The 20,527-nt window shown below is 32.0% G+C and overlaps 1 annotated feature.

Moving 5' to 3' along the window:
* Positions 2,622-2,916: a silencer, noted in NCBI's record as "tiled region #1645; K562 Repressive non-DNase unmatched - State 13:Ctcf". NCBI's record gives its function as "represses a minimal TATA promoter and a strong SV40 promoter by Sharpr-MPRA in K562 cells {active_cell/tissue: K562}" and the evidence as "EXISTENCE:reporter gene assay evidence [ECO:0000049][PMID:27701403]".

Consider the following 20,527-nt stretch of genomic DNA (forward strand, 5'->3'; position numbering starts at 1 on the left):
CCTATTTCATTTGAGCTAAATTTTTTAAAAGATTATCTAAACCCATGTTACTAAAAGTTTGATACATATGCTTTTCTACTGTTGCTCACTTATGTGCCACATGGCTATTCACTTTTTATTATTTATTTACTTTGTACTCCAATACTGAAAAGATATAAAGATTTCATTATGTAAAAAAAAGTCCATTGACTCATCTCAGAGGGAGAGAATTGCAGAGAGAAATTCATTACATTATAATTATTATTATACACATAATACGTCATTTCCTATTCAAATTATGGGACTAACACTGCATTGATTCAATGTGATAGATTATTTGATAATCTCTTTGCTTCTTGTTGTCCAGTTTATTCATAGGACCTTTTAAATTTTTCTCCCACAAGCTTTTTAACACAAACTTATTTGTCTTAGAAAGTTCCACAAACTTACTATTGTTCAATGCCCAATTAACATTTCCTTAGAATAGCAAATATATTTCAGAATATTGGAAAACAAGCGAATGTACTCTTATACCAAGGAAATTTAGGCTATATAATGTATGTCAGCACACACAAAATGAGTTTACTTTTGAGGAAAAATGCTGGACAACTGAGGATAAATAAAAACAAAAAATAGACAGTTAGCTAAAACAAAAGTGCTTACTTTTATTTTTACAAAATGAATGTTTATATATTTCATTGACTTAGTAATGCATTTTATTTTATTGTTTTTGTTAAACAATTGCATTTTGTTTTTGGTCAGTTCTATTTGAAAATCAACTTAATCTGTTTTTCCTATGTGGACCTTTCCCAAGGGATAAATTTATAAAATTGGAATTGTTAAATATCACATAATAGCAACAAAAAAGTGCTTTGCATGTGTGATTTACCAGTAGTCATTAAAAGAGTGATATGGTTTGGCTCTGATGCCACTCAAATCTTATCTTGAATTGTAGCTCTCCACAATTTCCAAATGCCATGGGAGGTACCCAGTGGGATGTAATTGAATCATGGGGTCAGTAGTTTCCCATGCTGTTCTCTTGATAGTGAATAAGTCTCATGAGATCCAATGGTTTTATAAAGGGAAGTTTCCCTGCACATGCTCTCTTGCCTGCTGCCATGTAGGATGTCTTTTTGCTCTTCCTTCATCTTCTGCCATGATTGTGAGGCCTCTCCAGCCATGTGGAACTGTGAGTCTATTAAACCTCCTTCCTTTATAAATTACCCAGTCTAGGTATGTCTTTATTAGCAGCATGCGAATGGACTAATGCAGAGAGTAAAAGCATTATTGTTTATAATTAACTTAAAATCCCCGAACATTTCCAAGATGATCCATTAGTGATGCCACACATTACTAAGCATACCTCTTAAAATTTCAGAACCAGCTGCTTAAAGTATTTAATGGTGACCACAAATAGTATTTTCTGTCTCTAACTTTGACATTTAAGTTTAATAATGTAAGGCAAATTGCTTTTCAAATGTAAAGATTTGCACTAGTTGTTTGCTATTTTTGTTATGGTTACCATTTCCTAAGCCAGATTAGTGTGAAGCTGATCTTAAATGATTCAGACACAACCTAGTTGAAACTCACATAAAAAAAATTCACAAATTCCACTTTGATAAATCTTTTTTGTTTTTTTACATAATATCAAATAACTCCTCAATTCTGTCAAACAATAATTTGCATTTTATTTAATTCTGTTCATGTACTACATGATAGTGTTTATATATAATTGTAAAAAGAAATGCTACTTAAAGAAAGTACAGTCTAGCACTTTATAAATGCAATGATAAGAATGGTGGTTTTGTCAGTAAAGGTTTAATACAAACAAAAACCATCCTCTGTATTTTAAGCTATAGGGAATTAAATACAATAAAGTTTAAAGTATTTTGAAGGACAGGATCAGAAATAAAGGAGCAAATACTGAATATATGTTTCAAGATCTGATCTCTGGGCTTGCCATCTGGATGTCAGGGGCCCCTCTTGTTATTGCTCCATTGCAACCATTGTCCAGACTGCCTCACACCCAGCACACACGTGACTCTCCTGAGGAACAGATCTTCTAGCTGCTGTAAATGCTTTCATTTTGGGGATTTGTGTATCAGCTGCCATAAACAAGGAGGAGTTTCTGTTTCACTTTTGTTATCCAAGCCTTGCACAAGTATCTCTAACTGGCATGACTTCTGTCAGGTATAAGAGATTCTGGAAAAAAAAAAAAAAGAATGATTTTAGCTTTCTAAACTTCCTATGTAGAAAAGAATGAGAGAGATAATCAAAGTATCTACCTCAGTAGTTATCAGGATTTAACCCACATGGTCCCTTTCATTTTGAATATCCCAACCTAAAGGGTAACTTCACACAGTTTCTCTATAAATCCTTGTTTCCAAAAGTTTCAGTATTTGAATCATGCAAGATGTACCAAATCTCCTCTTTCAGAGTGTGTTATCTAAGGTATTTCTAATAATGGTAACTAAAATCTTAAACATATGAAAAAAATCAGTATGATTTCTTGTTTCTTGCCTCTCTTCAAGTGTTGTAATAAACCTAGAGTAAAAAAAAAAACAAAAACCAGATTGCCAGTTATACAGCTATTTCTGGTTTATATATATATAATCTCAATTTCTGTTTTAGATTTTGGGGTACATGTGTAGGTTTGTTACATGAGTACTTTGTGTGATGCTGAGGTTTAGGATACAAATGATACTGTCACCAGGTAGTAAATATAGTATTCAGTAGTTATTCAACCCTTGCCCCCTCCCCCCTTCTGCCCTCTAGTGGTCTCCAGTGTCTGGTCCCCAGTGTCTATTGTTGCCATCTTCGTGTCCCATCTTTACATACTTCTAAAGCAACAGTTAATGCTTTGAGATTTGACCAAAGATGATGTACACTTCCTTTTACTTAGCTTTCATCAGAACTATAGTTGAATTATGCATAATGCTTTCTAAATTTTTATATTTTTCAATAAAACTAATTTGTATTCCAAGGTTTCTGTAGTCTAAATAAAACAGAAAAACTCTGAGATTAACAACGAAAATATGTCACTTTAACCTCATTGCATTTTGAAGACTGTAAAATAGACTTAAAATAAAAATATATAATTTCCTTCAAAATTTATGTTGGCTTAGCTTGTATGAAAGAGATTTGTAGTAATGTTAGCAGCAGCACATAAAGTTTGTGCAGTATGAACAGAGTAACTGGATGATTTTATAATAAATATATTATGTTCCCTCCAAAAATTACACATAGGCAACAGATTTAAAACAAAGTAAACCCATTGATTATGTGTGCTGCTTTTCCCCTTGTGTTAGGGAAAAAAATGTCATCAGCCCATATGCCTTCAAAACATTAAAACTAACCACATTTTCATACAGTAATTTCTTTTTTCTTTCTTTTTTTAGCAAATACTTATTGATGAATAATTTATTAGAAAAAAATGAAGTTGGAACATGAAGCAGACAGAAGTCACACTTCCTAAATTGCACAAAAAAGCTTAACAAAAAGTCTGATATTCTTAAACAGATATCTATAACTAAGGAAATCTAACATAAGTATAAAGTTAGTGGGTTGTACTAAGGAAGGCAATATAATTTCTATAAATATATTTATTTGGAATCATACCTAAATAATTACCCAAATTACAATAAATATGCAATGATTCTGACTTACTAATATTTCAATATTATTATTAATATTTCAATATCAATATCACTTCTTAAACCATAATAAGTTAGCTAGAAGTTTGAAGCCAGTGCACACTATTGTGTCAATTTAAGTGGCTGCTATGAGAGTACTTCATCTTTCTTCTGTACAGGCATACCTTGAAGATATTGTGTTTTCAGTTCCAGTCCTCCATGGTAAAATCAGTATTGCAATGAAGTCAGTCACAAATATTTGCTGGTTTCCCAGTGCATAGAAAAGTCATGCAGTCCATTAAGTATCCAAAAGCATTATGTGTAAAAAGCCATGTACATACCTTAATTAAAAATACTTTGTATTTCTGAGGGCTCTGTTCTGTTCCATTGGTCTATATCTCTGTTTTGGAACCAGTACCATGCTGTTTTGGTTACTGCAGCCTTGTAGTATAATTTGAAGTTAGGTAGCGTGATGCCTCCAGCTTTGTTCTTTTGGCTTAGGATTGACTTGGCAATGTGGGCTCTTTTTTGGTTCCATATGAACTTTAAAGTAGTTCTTTCCAATTCTGTGAAGAAAGCCATTGGTAGCTTGATGGGCATGGCATTGAATCTATAAATTACCTCGGGCAGTATGGCCATTTTCACGATATTGATTCTTCCTACCCATGAGCATGGAATGTTCTTCCATTTGTTTGTATCCTCTTTTATTTCATTGAGCAGTGGTTTGTAGTTCTCCTTGAAGAGGTCCTTCACATCCCTTGTAAGTTGGATTCCTAGGTATTTTATACTCTTTGAAGCAATTGTGAATGGGAGTTCATTCATGATTTGGCTCTCTGTTTGTCTGTTATTGGTGTATAAGAATGCTTGTGATTTTTGCACATCGATTTTATATCCTGAGACTTTGCTGAAGTTGCTTATCAGCTTAAGGAGATTTTGGGCTGAGATGATGGGATTTTCTAGATATACAATCATGTCATCTGCAAACAGGGACAATTTGATTCCCTATTTAATAAATGGTGCTGGGAAAACTGGCTAGCCATATGTAGAAAGCTGAAACTGGATCCCTTCCTTACACCTTATACAAAAATTAATTCAAGATGGATTAAAGACTTAAATGTTAGACCTAAAACCATAAAAACCCTAGAAGAAAACCTAGGCAATACCATTCAGGACATAGGCATGGGCAAGGACTTCATGTCTAAAACACCAAAAGCAATGTCAACAAAAGCCAAAATTGACAAATGGGATCTAATTAAACTAAAGAGCTTCTTCACAGCAAAAGAAACCACCATCAGAGTGAACAGGCAACCCACAGAATGGGAGAAAATTTTTGCAATCTACTCATCTGACAAAGGACTAATATCCAGAATCTACAATGAACTCAAACAAATTTACAAGAAAAAAACAAACAACCCCATCAAAAAGTGGGCAAAGGATATGAACAGACACTTCTCAAAAGAAGACATCTATGCAGCCAAAAAACACATGAAAAAATGCTCATCATCACTGGCCATCAGAGAAATGCAAATCAAAACCACAATGAGATACCATCTCACACCAATTAGAATGGTGATCATTAAAAAGTCAGGAAATAACAAGTGCTGGAGAGGATGTGGAGAAATAGGAACACTTTTACACGGTTGTTGGGACTGTAAACTAGTTCAACCATTGTGGAAGTCAGTGTGGAGATTCCTCAGGGATCTAGAACTAGAAATATCATTTGACCCAGCCATCCCATTACTGGGTATATACCCAAAGGATTGTAAATCATGCTGCTATAAAGACACATGCACACGTATGTTTATTGTGGCACTATTCACAATAGCAAAGACTTGGAACCAACCCAAATGTCCAACAATGATAGACTGGATTAAGAAAATGTGGCACATATACACCATGGAATACTATGCAGCCATAAAAAATGATGAGTTCATGTCCTTTGTAGGGACATGGATGAAGCTGGAAACCATCATTCTCAGCAAACTATCGCAAGGACAAAAAACCAAACACCGCATGTTCTCACTCATAGGTGGGAATTGAACAATGAGAACACATGGACACAGGAAGGGGAACATCACACTCTGGGGACTGTTGTGGGGTGGGGGGAGGGGGGAGGGATAGCATTGGGCGATATACCTAATGCTAAATGAGGAGTTGATGGTGCAGCACACCAACATGGCACATGTATACATATGTAACAAACCTGCACATTGTGCACATGTACCCTAAAACTTAAAGTATAATAATAAAAAATAAAATAAAATAAAATAAAGCCATGCAGCAAAAATAAAAAAATAAAAATACTTTGTATTGTTAAACAAAAGAAAAGTCTGACAATCATCTGGACCTTCAGTGAAGCATAACCTTTTTGCTGGTGGAGAGTCTTGCCTCAGTGTTATGACTACTGACTGATCAGGGTGGTGATTATTGAAGATTGGGCTGATTGTGGTCATTTCTTAAGACAACAATGGTGTTTGCTACATGGATTGATCCTTTAATGAAATATTTCTCTGTAGCATCCAGTGAATTTTGATAGCATTTTACTCACAGAACTTAATTAGAACTTACTTAAAAACTAGAGTCAATTCTCTCAAACTCTGCTTCTGCTTTATCAAATAAATTTATGAAATATTCTAAATCCTGTGTTGTCATTCCTACAATGTTTACAACATCTTCACAATGAGAAATCACCTTCTTTGCTCAAAATGTCAGCGTCTTTGCTCATCATAAGAAACAACTTGTCTTTTCAAATTTTAACATGAGATTGCAGCAATTCAGTCATATCTTCAGGCTCCACTTCCAATTACAGTTCTCTTGCTACTGCTGTGACATCTGTAGTTACTTCCTCCACTGAAATCTTGAACCTCTGAAATCCATCCATGAGAGCTGGAATCAACTTCTTCCAAACTCCTGTCAATGTTGATATTTTGACCTCCTCCCATGAATCACAGATGTTCTTAATGACATTTAGAATGGTGAATTATTTCCAGAATATTTTCAATTTATTTTCTCTAGATCCATCAGAAGAATCACTACCTCTAGCAGCTATAGCCTTACCAAATGTGTTTCTTAAATTATAACACTTGAAAGTCAAAATTACTCCCTGATTCATGGGCTACAGAATGGTTATTGTGTCAGTAAGCATGAAAACAACATTATTATTCTTGTACATCTCCATTAGAGATCTTGAGTGACCAGGTGTATTGTCAATGAGTAATAGCATTTTTACAGAATTTTTTTTCGAGCAATAGATCTCAACAGTGTTCTGAAAATATTTAATAAACCATATGGTAAACAGAGGTGCTGTCATCCAGGCTTTGTTGTTTCATTTTTAAAGCACAGGCAGAGTAGGTTTAGAATAATTTTTAAGGGGCCTAGGATTTTCAGAGTGGTAAATGATAATTGGCTTTAACTTAAACCCACCAGCTGTGATAGCTCTAAAGGAGAGAGTCAGCCTGTCCTTTGAAGCCGTTGACTTCTCCTCTCTAGCTATAAAATTCCTAGATGGCATCTTCTTCCAATAGAAGGCTATTTGATATACATTGAAAAATCTGTTTAGTGTAGCCACCTTCATTAATTATCTTAACTAGATGTTCTGGATAACTTGCTGCAGCTTCTATATCATCGCTTACTGCTTTACCTTGCACTTTTATATTATACAGAAGTCTTCTTTTATTAAACCTCATTAACCCATATCTGCTAGCGTCAAATTTTTCTTCTGCAGCTTCCTCATCTATTTTAGCTTTCGTAGACTTGAAGAAAATTAGGACCTTACTCTGGGTAAAGCTTTGGCTTAGGGGAGTGTTGTGGCTTGTGTGATCTATCCAGATCACTAGAACTTTCTCTCTAACAGCAATATGGCTATTTCACTTTTTAATGATTCTTGTGTGCTCACTGGAGTAGTACTTTTTATTTTCTTCAAGAACTCTTTCTTTGTATTCACAGCTTTGCTAACTGTTTGGTGAAAGAGGTCTTGCTTTTAGCCTATCTTGGCTTTTAATGTGCCTTCCTGACTAAGCTTAATCATTTCCAGCTTTTAATTTAAAGTAAGAGGCATGCAACTCTTTCTTGCACTTGAACACTTAGAGGCCATTTGTAAGGTTATTAATTGGCCTAATTTTAATATTGTTATATATCAGAAAATAGAGATATCCTAGGAGAGGGAGACAGAAGAGGGAATGGCTAGTCAGAGGAGCAGTCAGAACACACACAATATTTATTGATTATGCTCACCATCTTATATGGGCATGATTTGTACAGTCCTAAAACAATTACAGGCTGAGCACAGTGGCTCATGCCTGTAACTCCAGTGCATTGGGAGGCAGAGGTGGGAGGATCACTTGAGACCAGGAGTAGGAGACCAGCCTTGGCGACATAACAAGACCTAGTTTCTACCAAAAAAAAAAAAATATTAATTAGCTGGGCATGGTGTTGCATACTTGTATTCATGGCTACTTGGGAGGCTGATACAGAAGGATCATTGAGGTCCAGGAGTTCAGTGTTGCAATGAGCTATGATTGTGCCACTGCACTCCAACTCTGAGTGACAGAGCAAGATCCCATCTCAAACAAGCAAACAAAAATAGAACAATTACAATAGTAACATCAGGATCACTTATCATAGTTCACCATAACAGTTACAATAATAGTGAAAAGTTTAAAATATTATGAGAATTACCAAAATGTGACAGAGACATGAAGTGTGTGCATGCACTTGAAAAAATGACACTCACAGACTTGCTCGACTCAAGGTTGCTGCAAACATTCAATTTGTAAAAGTGCAATATTTGCAAAGTACAATAAAGCAAAGCACAATCAAAGGATGTATACCTATATTTTTGTTACACGATAGCAAAGAAATTATTACAAAGATCTGTAAAAACTTATGTAAGTTTTGGACTTGTACCTATAAAAATTATTGTTATATGATCACACTATAAAAATAAAACACAAAATTTAAGATTTAAATATTAAGTTTTAAACAATATTTCAGTCAAAATATCCTTTTTATTTGGTCTTTAAAGATGGATGCATGCGATTTGTTGCAACAAACCAATACTCTTTACAGACTTACATAGACCTGGTTCATGACGACTTCAATATAATTGATGAGAAGGGGAGCTAGAAATCTCTGGTAAAATGGTATGCTGCTGATTTATCATTTGGATTGTACGGAAATTAGTATGCCCACATTGTGTTCTTCATTTCTATTCAATGACACTGAGAAGCAATGTAAAGAAGATAGTCAAAATCACAATTGCTTATAATGAGGAAAAATAATTATCAGTCTAGTCCATAAAATTTCAACAGTCGCTGGCAGCAATAGTCACCTCAGTAGTCAATGAGCCAGCATAGAGACCATGTATGAAGATATCATATAATTATAAAATGTGTGTCAGGCATAAATAATAAATTAAACTTTGTTGATGACTTTTTCTAAGTATAGGTATTTGATATAATTCTATCCTGAAGTCTATTATCTTATTCTTAATTTTTTTCTAATTCTATTTCTTCTGTTCTTTCATACCTTTTATCATTTTATTAACATATTTACTCATTTACAATAAAGTTAACATTTTAAAATCTGTTCTGTGAGATATGTTTCCAGCATGCTCTCATATTCTGTAGGAAAGCAACTCTGTCCCTCTATTTTTGTTATAAACACATTTTATGGGCTTTGACCACAATACTGTTGTTGTTCATTTTTTCCTGTAAAAATAACATTCCTGAGTGTTCAGAATGAAGAATTTTCAAAATAGCCTTTCTAGTTTTACAGAGTACCCTCTTCTGTCATTTAAAAAAATATTGTTCTGAAAAATATTTAGTAACTTGGCTTTTCAGATTCCCTGGCTTTATTATCCTCCTCCACTTTTTTTTCTTGTCTTACTCTTCCCTTCATTTCCATGCTCCCTGTCATGCTCAATTATTTTTCTGCCCACTACTTTCTCTTTACTCTGGATTCCTGTGCTGAAACAGAGTTTCAGCAGCACAATTCAAGAGATGACAGGAGCTAGACTGCTTCCGCTTCATTTGTCCCCATTGCAAACTCTACTTTCTGATGTTATTGGAATGGACAAAACTAGTACTGATTCCACATTTTGGGGTTTCCTGTTTTCTGGTCTATCAGGGACTCTTAAACTTCCCTCTGCTCTGCTTTGTGTAGACATAGATAACATGCATATCTTTCAGCTACATGTTCCAACATGCTCTTTTGGGGAGTTACTTTAGATGACTGGTCACCAAATTTAATGTTAACACTGCCTTGGAATCCATGTTTTGCTACTTGCTTAATCACTTTGTTTTTAAGACAGGGTTTGCAGAGAGTAAAACCTGTGCTGAAGATATTGCCACTATCTTCCCAGAAGCTACTCGTTATTTCTTTTTTTAATTTAATACAATTATTTGGGGGATTGTTTTTCTATTAAACTATTAACTAAATCATTTTGGGTGGTTAGTAAATGTAAAAATTTTTCCATAAATCTCTATTAAACAATATGAGCATTTTAATGTATCTATGAATGTATATATGTATTCAATTATGTATGTCATTTGTGTTTTTCTCATCATATTTTTGTTATTTGATTATAGCTCTACTAGAACATAAAATACTTATTCAATAACTCAACTTTTAATAAATAATGAAGTAGATAATATTTACTTTTTTATTTTAAATTTCATTTGCAAGAGTGTCCTTTTTACATTAAATAATAATTTTGTCTCAATTAGAATTTAATTAAGAATGTAACTATCTTATTTCTTCATAAAAAATGAATCTTTAACTCACAAAGTGTCATTATAGATGTTTGTTACTGTTGTTGCTTTTGATTCCATTAATTCCTTCCTTTGCTTCATAAGTCAATTGGTTACACATTATTTTAATCTATTTGTAGTTTCTTAAGCAAAATATTACATATACTTATGTAATTTTTTATTTTTTACACTACATTTTAAGAGTTCCATAACATTAATTTTAAGCAAATATCTCTTGACTTTTTATTTTTGTTTGCAAATATTAACACATGTAAAAAATAAATAGAACTAAGACTATATGAACGTATTTTTTGAAAAATGTTAAATTCAAATAATATCAAACCCAGTTCGTGAATTGTAGAAAATTAATGAATGATGCCAAATTTTTAGCTATTTTGGCAAGCATACACTGTGATATGAAATAGTGCTTATACATAAGAAGCACTTGTAAGTGGACAAAAATAAGTCAATTTAAAAAATACTGTATTTATGGAATGCCAAAAAAGCAGATGACTTTTTTTTCCTTTTTCAGGTGCCTCTATGAGGTAATGAGCCCACAGTAAATTCACTGTTATTCTCCTGTGAAATTGACACTGCTCATCTTAAATACTGCTTAAAAAAGTCTACCAAAGCTTGCATAAATTACAGTCTTACTGTTTGAAGATATGAAATTAGAACTTAGGAATTCCTCAAATTTAATTTTAAACTCAATGCTCCCAGATGCACATCTTTCTGAACAGTCCATTAATCAGAATAGCTAGACACTATTCATCATAGTTCAGTGTAACAATTCTTTCATATGCTCCAATCTTTGTTGGGCTATACATTTTGAAAATTGCTTACTCTTGGGCATTTCCTCCATTTGAAGATAAAATATCATGCCATCAACCTAAAACCTCTTCTATAATGATCTGAAATGTACTTTTCATTTTTTAAAACATTCTGGCATGCTGACAAGATCAAATATTAAGCATTTGAATCATCACTGGCTTGAAAGATTTTATTATTAAAACATGCTTTCATCATTAGAAAATTCATTCAGATACATGGAAAAGAAAAAGATTTCTCATAATAGAAGAATACTGATGATACAGTAAAGATTGCATGTGAGAATTCTACTTGCTGTGACCCTTATGAGGCTTCAAAAGTCACATGAAGAAGGCAGAAACCATTATGCAATCAGAAACGCAGGGGCAGATACCCCACTAACTACGTAACTTCCCCATTCTAATAGAGAAACTTTTGTTGTATTATATCTTCTCTTATGTCCAATCATGTTTGTTACCTCCATTCCTTTAACAACCCAAAGTCCGGCGAAAAAATGAGACTAATAGTGAAAATCCTTACTTTGTATCTTGCAACAACATTTGTTAATAAAACTAGGACCACCTTCATCTCTGGTGACAAGCTGCATTTTGCCCCACAGACCCCTGACACGGAGCACTAGACAATGCAAATATACATATTAATTCTAGAAAATGTATGTGGTTTTTATGTCTCTGCACCACTGGCTTTTGTTTCTCCATCAGCTGCATCTGATTATCCAAGCCTCAATTCATTACCATAGCTGCAAGGGAGCCTTGGTAACCAGCATTCAACTTGTAAATTAAAATTCATTACCTGCTTCAAAAATAGAGAATTCCTGAAGCATAGACAGACAATTTGGATACCATGCAGGTACCAAGGATAGCAATCATAAGCCATTTAAAAAGTGTTTCTATTTATGTCAACAGTTATTTTTGCAAGCAGTATACAGCAGTCATATTATAGGTGTCCTTTATATAAACACTGGACTCAAGGAAGTTTTGCTTGTTTTTTGTTTGTTCTTAATGTTTTATGTGAACATGAAGGTAGGCTGATATAGTGAAATTCTTATAATTCTTTTTCTTATTATGGAACACACAATATGGAACACATAATAAATAAAAATAATGGTAGGTCACACTTTGGGGTGGTCTGCTGATTATTGGTGCTCCAGATTCAGCCCAGATGTCCCACTGTCCAAAGTTAATCAACAACTTGGCTCACCTGTCACCTAGTCATAGCATTTCACTTAGGAAGCTGTATTTATCTTTTGTGAATCATTTAATCAGTTGGATCTCATTTTCCTGTTTTCTAAAATGGGATTAAAATGCGTAAATATACATATATATATATATATATAGCTTAAGGAAATAAATATAAGGGTATCAAAATAAGTAGATATTGACTCAAAATAATTAAGATCCCATATAGCACCAAATAAAGTAGTTCAATATTAATGTTACTGTTATGTTACTGTGATGAAGTATACCTTCTATTAAGATTGCCTGTGTTGGTTTCAGAAATAGACATAAATAAAGTTGTGGGGTTTGTTTTTTTACTTTTTAATAATTAAAGGAAAAACAGATACATAGAAAAGTTGCAAAAAGAGTACAAAGAGTTTTTATATACTCCACATGCAGTTTTCCCTATTATTAACATTTTATATGAGTATGGTACATTTGTAATAATTAATGAACAAATATGTATGCATTATTTTTACAAATGCTCATACCATCTTCAGATTTTCTTAGTTTTTTATATAGTATTTCATAATTTCTTTCTTCTTGTCTGATATAGTTAATATGTATTGTTTATTCTGATCTGTATGAATTCTCATAAAATATGCAGTGTTCTTTAAATAAATGAATTTTTAATTGTATAAGTTATACTCTGCTATATTATTTTCTTACTTTTATCACTGGTAATTTTTAAGGTAAGACTTAGCATTGTGCTGTTACTTCTGTTACATTCATATATAATTTTACTTACCTGTTTCCCCTGTGATGAATAAATACACAGCCTTCACTCCCTGCTACCTCCAAAAAAACCAAACCAAACAAAAACAAATAAACAATAAGAATGAACATCATTATATTGTATTATGGATTTGTTTGAGAATTTACCTGAAACACGTACAAAAGTGAGATTTCAGACTTAGAAATTTTCCTTCTGCTTACATTGACTAAGGTCTTCCAGGCACTGTCTAGAATGGTTTCTCTATAGTACACTACTACAAGCACTTTTTATATTCCAGGTAACAATTGGCACTATCTATCAAATTAGGAAAGTTTCTTTTTATTACAAAATATATCAAATGCTTAAAAATAATGAAACATTTGATAATTTTTTTCTATTTTGGGTCAATAACAGAGTTAATTACATTGATTGGTTTTCTACAGCTTAACCATCTTTGCATTCTTCTGTAACAAAATTCTAAAATGACACCCCAGCTTCCTACGACCTGTAAACATGCCCTTTATACACCCCTCAACTGTATATAGGTAGGACATGATAGATTTTTACTTCCATGATTAGGTTACATTATACTACTAATGGAAAGGAATTTTGACATAATTAAATTCTCTAATTAGTTTACTTTAAGTTAGGGGATTATCTTGGGAGTATTTGAATTAATCAGTTGGGAGGGATTATCTTTGGCTGACCTGACTAGATCAGTTGGAAGTCTTTAAAAGAGGGCTTAGGCTCTCCGTAGAGACAGTGACTCTCCACTGTGGCAGAGATGTCTCCTTGCACTTGTGTGGTTCTATACTGCTCCTGATATTCTCTCCTGTATAGCCTGCCCTGTGCACTTCTGACATGTTTAGTCACCTTGCTCCCTTCATTTTGAAAGCCTGTTTCCTGTTATAAGTAATAAATGTATAAGTATTAAATAAATAAATAAATATTAGCTGGTTTTGTAAGTACATGTGAAACTATTCAAATTTTCTAAAATTAACAAAAATTTTACTAAGTTGTTGAATATGTATTTATTCTCAAAGATATTAGTATGGGTAAGCCACTGATACAGTACTTTCTTAAATGTATGCTTATTTCCCCTTTGGATCTTGTTTCATATTTTGCATTCAAAGTTCCTACCACATGAACCAATAAGCATTTTAAGCATATGGTTTCTTTCTCATTTGTGTTATTTTATTCACAATGTCAAAATAGTGAATATCAAATCCATTCATAATTAAGTTAAATAAACTTATTTTATTATAAGTAAAAGTAAACAATCCATTTTGAAACTCTTTTCAGTGTTTTCTCAGCATATTTTTACAAGATGTCAGACAAATTGTCATGGAAAATGACAAGTACTTGAAAACTGTGACTGATAAAGGAACACACACACAGAGATATACAAGAATGGTGATAATGCGTAAGATTTCTAGATTTTCATATTTAAATGGTTACATATTATAGAAAATGATTAAGCATTGTCTCTTGTTTATGTCCTATACTTATGTTCTTATATTCTATACATGATAATAAAACATTTTAAACACTTTTATATACATAAACTTGGAGATGTATGTTTTCACATTGCTTATTTAAACACCAGGTTTAATTATTTACTTTTAATAGTTTATTTCATTTGGCTTCTTTTTAGTATTAAGTTAGTATTTAGTATTAAGTTAGCCCAGTGGCTATTTGCTAGTCTTAATAAAATTATGAATGAAAAAATGAATCTTTACTAGCCATACGCCTTTGCATATTTATGAGAGATTAATAAGAAAATAAATGTACGATTTTACTTGGGATTTTTATTTATTTTATTTACATCTTTAGAGAGAGTCTGCTGAGAAATAATTTAGGGAATCATAGGTAGAGATAAAAAGATGTTGCATAATAAAATTGTTGATATGTATTTTATAGTATATTTCTTTTGTAGATACAGTTTTCATTAACTCCCTTTAAACTTGTTTATTTCTTTTAAACAATTTGCTGTCTAGGAAAGTATAAAATAAAATTATTAGTTCTCTGTGTTCAGATGCTTACTTAATGTGCTATGCATTCCCATATAGCCTTTCCCTAGGCTGTTTATTATAGCACCAGCAGATGAATTTTAGATGTCAGTTAATGATGCAAGAAGGGTCACAGTGATGATTTTTATTGGAAAATGGGATAGCCTAAGAAAATGAAAATCTAAATATATCCAATTTATATGGAATAGTTAAATAACTTCTTAAACTTTGTTCAAATGTTAAAGACTGCAGCAATTGCAGATTTCAATGAATACTTCATTATGAGCTTCCAGCACACACTCTCACATGTGTTTTTCCTGTTTGCCTATATTTTCTGCATCGATTTTGTTTTGAACAGTAGAAGTCTTTGGAAACCACTCTGAGATATAATATTGAAGAGACAAACTAAGAACTAGTTTATAACTATGAATGCATAACCAGAAGACAGTTTAGCATTAGCCAATAAAGTCTCAGTTGTAAACTAACATCCTGAACCCCCAAAATTAGAGCCACAGTTAACCCTACAGGAAAGGTCAATATCAAACACATACTAAGATTGAGAAGTATTTTTTTTCTTTTAACTCTAGCTTTGGCATATATAAATATTAAGTTTACTAATTAAAACATAATTTAAATATAATGCTACATTTATGGAGAAATGCATAATTTTGACTGGTAATTCACATTCTTATCAGTAGATGGTTGCTATCACTTAAATCACACCTGAGAATCAGAATGTATACCAAAAAGAGAGAAGGGAGATGATACTTCAGAGTATATCTTATGTGATATATGTTCTACATAAAATTATTATTCACAATCAGTCTGAGATGTAGTCATCATTCTCAACATTTTAGATGAGGTAACAGAGACTTGAAGATGGTGATTAACTTTTACAAATGTAAGGGTTGATTTGAACCCTGTTACATATGACTTCAAGGCCTGGGATCTTCTGACATGCTACTCTGCCTTCTAAAACAAGATGACTTAAGGTCAAAAGTATGCAACTGTATGTGTATATGTGTGTGTGTATTTTTTCTAAACTCTGTTTATATATATTTCACATATGGTAAAACACCTGTGGCTTGAATGTCTACATCTTTTAAAAATTTTGACAAATTCATACGCCCAGATAACCACCAACAAAATTAAGTCATAAAATACTTTCATTACTCCAAAATATTTCTTTCTCCTTCTTTTTCAATTAATTCCTCAACTTACAGAGCTAGGCACACCCTGAATATTATGGTTAAATAAGTGTTGTGTCTTCTAGCATTACATCTACAGAGATTGTACAATAGGTATAATTTGTGTCCAGTATCTAATCAAATGCTATTGTAAAGGCAAAAAGCAGGAGGATGTGATCTCTAACCAAAAAATAACACAAACAGCAAATTAAAACAGACCCACAGATCTGTATAACACAGATGATAGAATTATGGAACTAGCAGACAAGAATTTTTACTGTATAAGAATTTGTAATGCATCTGGTAGATTATGGGAATGCTATGATTTCCTGTCTTAGATCTTTAAACAAGTCAATGCTAGAAAAACTGGTGCTGTTAGGCCATTTTCCAGTCTTTTAAAAAAATATAAGAGAACAGGCTATAATTTGAAAAAATGCAAATTAACAGGAATATCCAACAGTTACAATATTTATATACTTGCAATTTTACTAAAATTGACTTTTCTTCTTTATCAATTTATATTTCCTGCCTACAAATTATATGTACTGCCCACAAGAAAATAATTTTGTTACTAATCTAAAAACACGTTTGTTTATATAAATATTTCATGTAAGGGGGATACAATAGTAGATATAAAATTTGAAAGTTACAGATCACTAAACAAATGTGCACTTACATTAGTATTTCTTTTTATTCTGAGCTCCACGCAGTCAGTTAATTTTGCATGAAAAATAATTCTTCTTTCAAATAATCGATTGTGGCTACTTTTCATTTTTAAAATTTATTTTTAAAAATTCAGACTTCGGTAATAAAAAAGTTATCAATCTAATGTTTCATGTTCTTTAAATTTACTGCACCATTATTTTGGAATACAATTAAGTCACTATTAAATAATTATGAATTTTAAAATTTCATTTGAAATAGCTTTTTTCAAATTAAATACCAATCTAACTAAAATATTTTCCATTGATCTATACATTAAGATCACAATAATATTTGTGTATTTGCACATTCCAAAATTTTTTATAACTTATTTCAATACTGAATATACAAACACGTGTCATGCACACACCCATTTTTTCTTTTTTGATCTTTTTTGATAACATTATTTGATTCATTTTTTGATAACATTATAAACTCTTTTTTTGTAATTCTGTCCATTAGAAATTATAGGCCACATTTTGCTCTTCTGTGAATGTTCTCTTATTGTTATTTAATATAATATATTTTAAATAAAAATTTATTTTTGGTATTGCTGCATTTATTGTAATGGAAATATTGTACTTGTCACTGGAAAATTCATAGAATTTTTTAAAATGTGATCTAGATATTATTTATTAAACATGCGCTAAGAGAATATATTATAAGAAAATCCTTCAACATGACAATAAACTACTCAAACTACTGTCCCAATCATACATTTATGTTGTTTAGTCTAAGATCTTCTTTATTAAAAGTATTGCAGTAAGACCCATGGTGATATCAGTATTTTGAGCATAGTTCTCATAATATAACTTGTTCTAACATATTTTGCACTGGACAGAAGAGCTATCAAAGTTATGGTGCATCCTTATTTATTTCGTCATGATTTTCTTCCCATTGTTTCGGTTAAGGTATTCACATAAACAACAAAATGTCCGCTAAATTTTAATGTAAAAGTCTTTTGAAATATTTTTCTACATTATAAAATAAATTAGCAACAAGACTAAAGTGATATTGTTTTCCCATCAAACTGTTTATTGTCCTTTCAGTCCACAAAACTGTAGTGCCTTTTCCCAGGAGAAAACCTTCAGCAAAGTAGGGACACTTCAGAGCACAGAATAGAAGAATTATAAAACTGTCATAGATGTCAGAATATATTGCAATCAGCAGCAGAGTAGCATTGCCTGGAAAACAGCCATTTCATCTAAGGAGTTCTTTATGGTCTGGTAAATTGCATTACATTTAAACAAAATAGAAATGACATTTCTACACAAAATAGTTTAATCACTCAGTACATGGTTAATTTTTCTGACATAACCTATTTCTTCATTTTAGGAAATGTGTGTGTGTGTTTTTTTATTTACTTGAATTCAAGAGAAAGTATGGAAATAAACTTTATTTTGCCAAAGGAGGTACAAACATTGCAAGAAAAGAAAAGGGAACAAAGCTCTTTTGTTTTGAAAAATCAATACAGACTTTTTCAAAGAGACTACAGAAAATAATTTTCGAATATTAAATGTAAATTCAGATAATCATGAGTGTGTTGACAGAAGAAGAGAGAAATAGGAAAAGAGAGAGAAGATAGAGAGTAGCAAATATTAAAATAGCAACATTAATATTGTTAATCAAAATTTGTCTTGCTCATTTAAAAATCTTGTATTCTGAATTGGGACCATTTTGAATAGAGACCAAATATATTGAATATGGTGTTCTTGTTAGCATGGTTCTCCTTTCTTCATTCACATTGTTATATTCTTCTTTGTTCTATTTTTTAACTTATGCTCACATTTCAAGGCATTGGACTCATTTGGTCGTGTCATTAAGAAATGGTGGATCCAGGATTTTATTATTTGATTATTGAGTGTTTTTCACATTCCAAAACAAATTAGTATTCCAGCTTTGCGGCTTACTGCTAGACACTGAATGCAGAGAGAACACATTATGCATTAGACCAGTTAAGAGGTTTTAAATCAGATTTGTGACTTGAAAGTTTGAATAAGAAAACTAATAGAACACAAAATGAAGCACAGGGAAAATTAGATTAATTATCTACATCATTCAGTGTGAACAGCTGCTCATGTACTGTGTTGTTGAGTGGTATTTTGGTATTAAAACAAGCCTTAATTTTTCCCATATTAAGTTGCAATAATTGATGTGAAAACATATATACACATTTACAGATCACAATATCTTGGAGTATTTTAAAAATAGAAGTATATTTGAATAAGTTATTCATATTTTTTCTCTGTCTCCTTCTCCTCCCTCACTCTCACTAATTAGGAATATTTGCCTTTGTGATAACCCAAATATTTATCTTGCGTATTTTTCTCCATTAACACAACTTAGATAACTTGCTAATTCAAGACACTATATACTGAATGCAAAGACACATGTTTTTCCTAGTCATTTTTATTTCCCAACCCACCTAAGAATATTATGTTCAATTCACCCAAAGAAAGTTTCAAAGAATAATAGCACCTGCAGAATCGCACATTTCAATGCAACAACAAAGATCAAAATCTCTTGATCTATTTTAGAGGCAACTACCTCTTCCTTTAGGCAATCTAGACAAATTGAACCAATCTTTTTTGTAAATCTGGTTCAGTTCAGATACCTTAAGTTCCTGTGTCACCTACATGCCTGTGTGTGTGTCTGTGTGTATGTGTATCCTTTGCTCTTGTTTCAGTCTTCTCTAAAGGCAGTGACATTGATATTTAATTGAAATAATTCCTGCTGGTACATAAAACATGCCTGAATAAACATCCACCTGTTCCTCATAAATGGCATCAGGTGCTCATTCTATGTGACAAGCTGTATTTTAATTTTAAATATTTATTTTTTAATACTCAACCTCAGTAGGGTATGATTGCCATAATGCCCCGTAGTTGGTAAAATAATGTGAGAACTAGGAAAGAAGGCTTACAATTTTTCCTCAATAATGAATGAAGCACAACAATTATTATTAAAGTAATTAAACATAAACACAAGATAGTTTCTAGTTAACATTTTTTTCAGAATTTTATAATTACATAAAGTCCGAATTAGAAGCAACCTGCTGCTAAACCCTCTAGAGAAAAACTAAGGATACTATAAATGATCTCAGTCTTTCTAAATATTTTTGTTTTTATATAATTTAAATATTTTGAATAAGTGTATTTTATTTCAGTTTAAATTTCAACTGATCAAGAATAAAATAATGAAGGCCTGTTTACCAAAGAAGGTGAGGTAGAAATATATGACTGGTTTAGATACTTGCAGGCAGAAGTATTGCTTTCATGGATAAAATAACACAAATATTAGATCATTAAATTAAACTAACACAAAGCAAATATTTTAGTCAGTATCTTTCCTTTTAAGTAATTATCCCTTTGAAACCAAAAACCACCAAACAAAAAATAATAATTGTAAGTAATGACTAAAGACAATATGCATGAGAAGAAGGTGTGGGAATACCTTTCCATCCCTCCAGGTCTTTTCCTGCCTAATTAGGATGCACTATGCCAAGATTA

Source organism: Homo sapiens, chromosome 13 (genome assembly GCF_000001405.40).
Source record: "Homo sapiens chromosome 13, GRCh38.p14 Primary Assembly".
Lineage (NCBI taxonomy): Eukaryota > Metazoa > Chordata > Mammalia > Primates > Hominidae > Homo > Homo sapiens.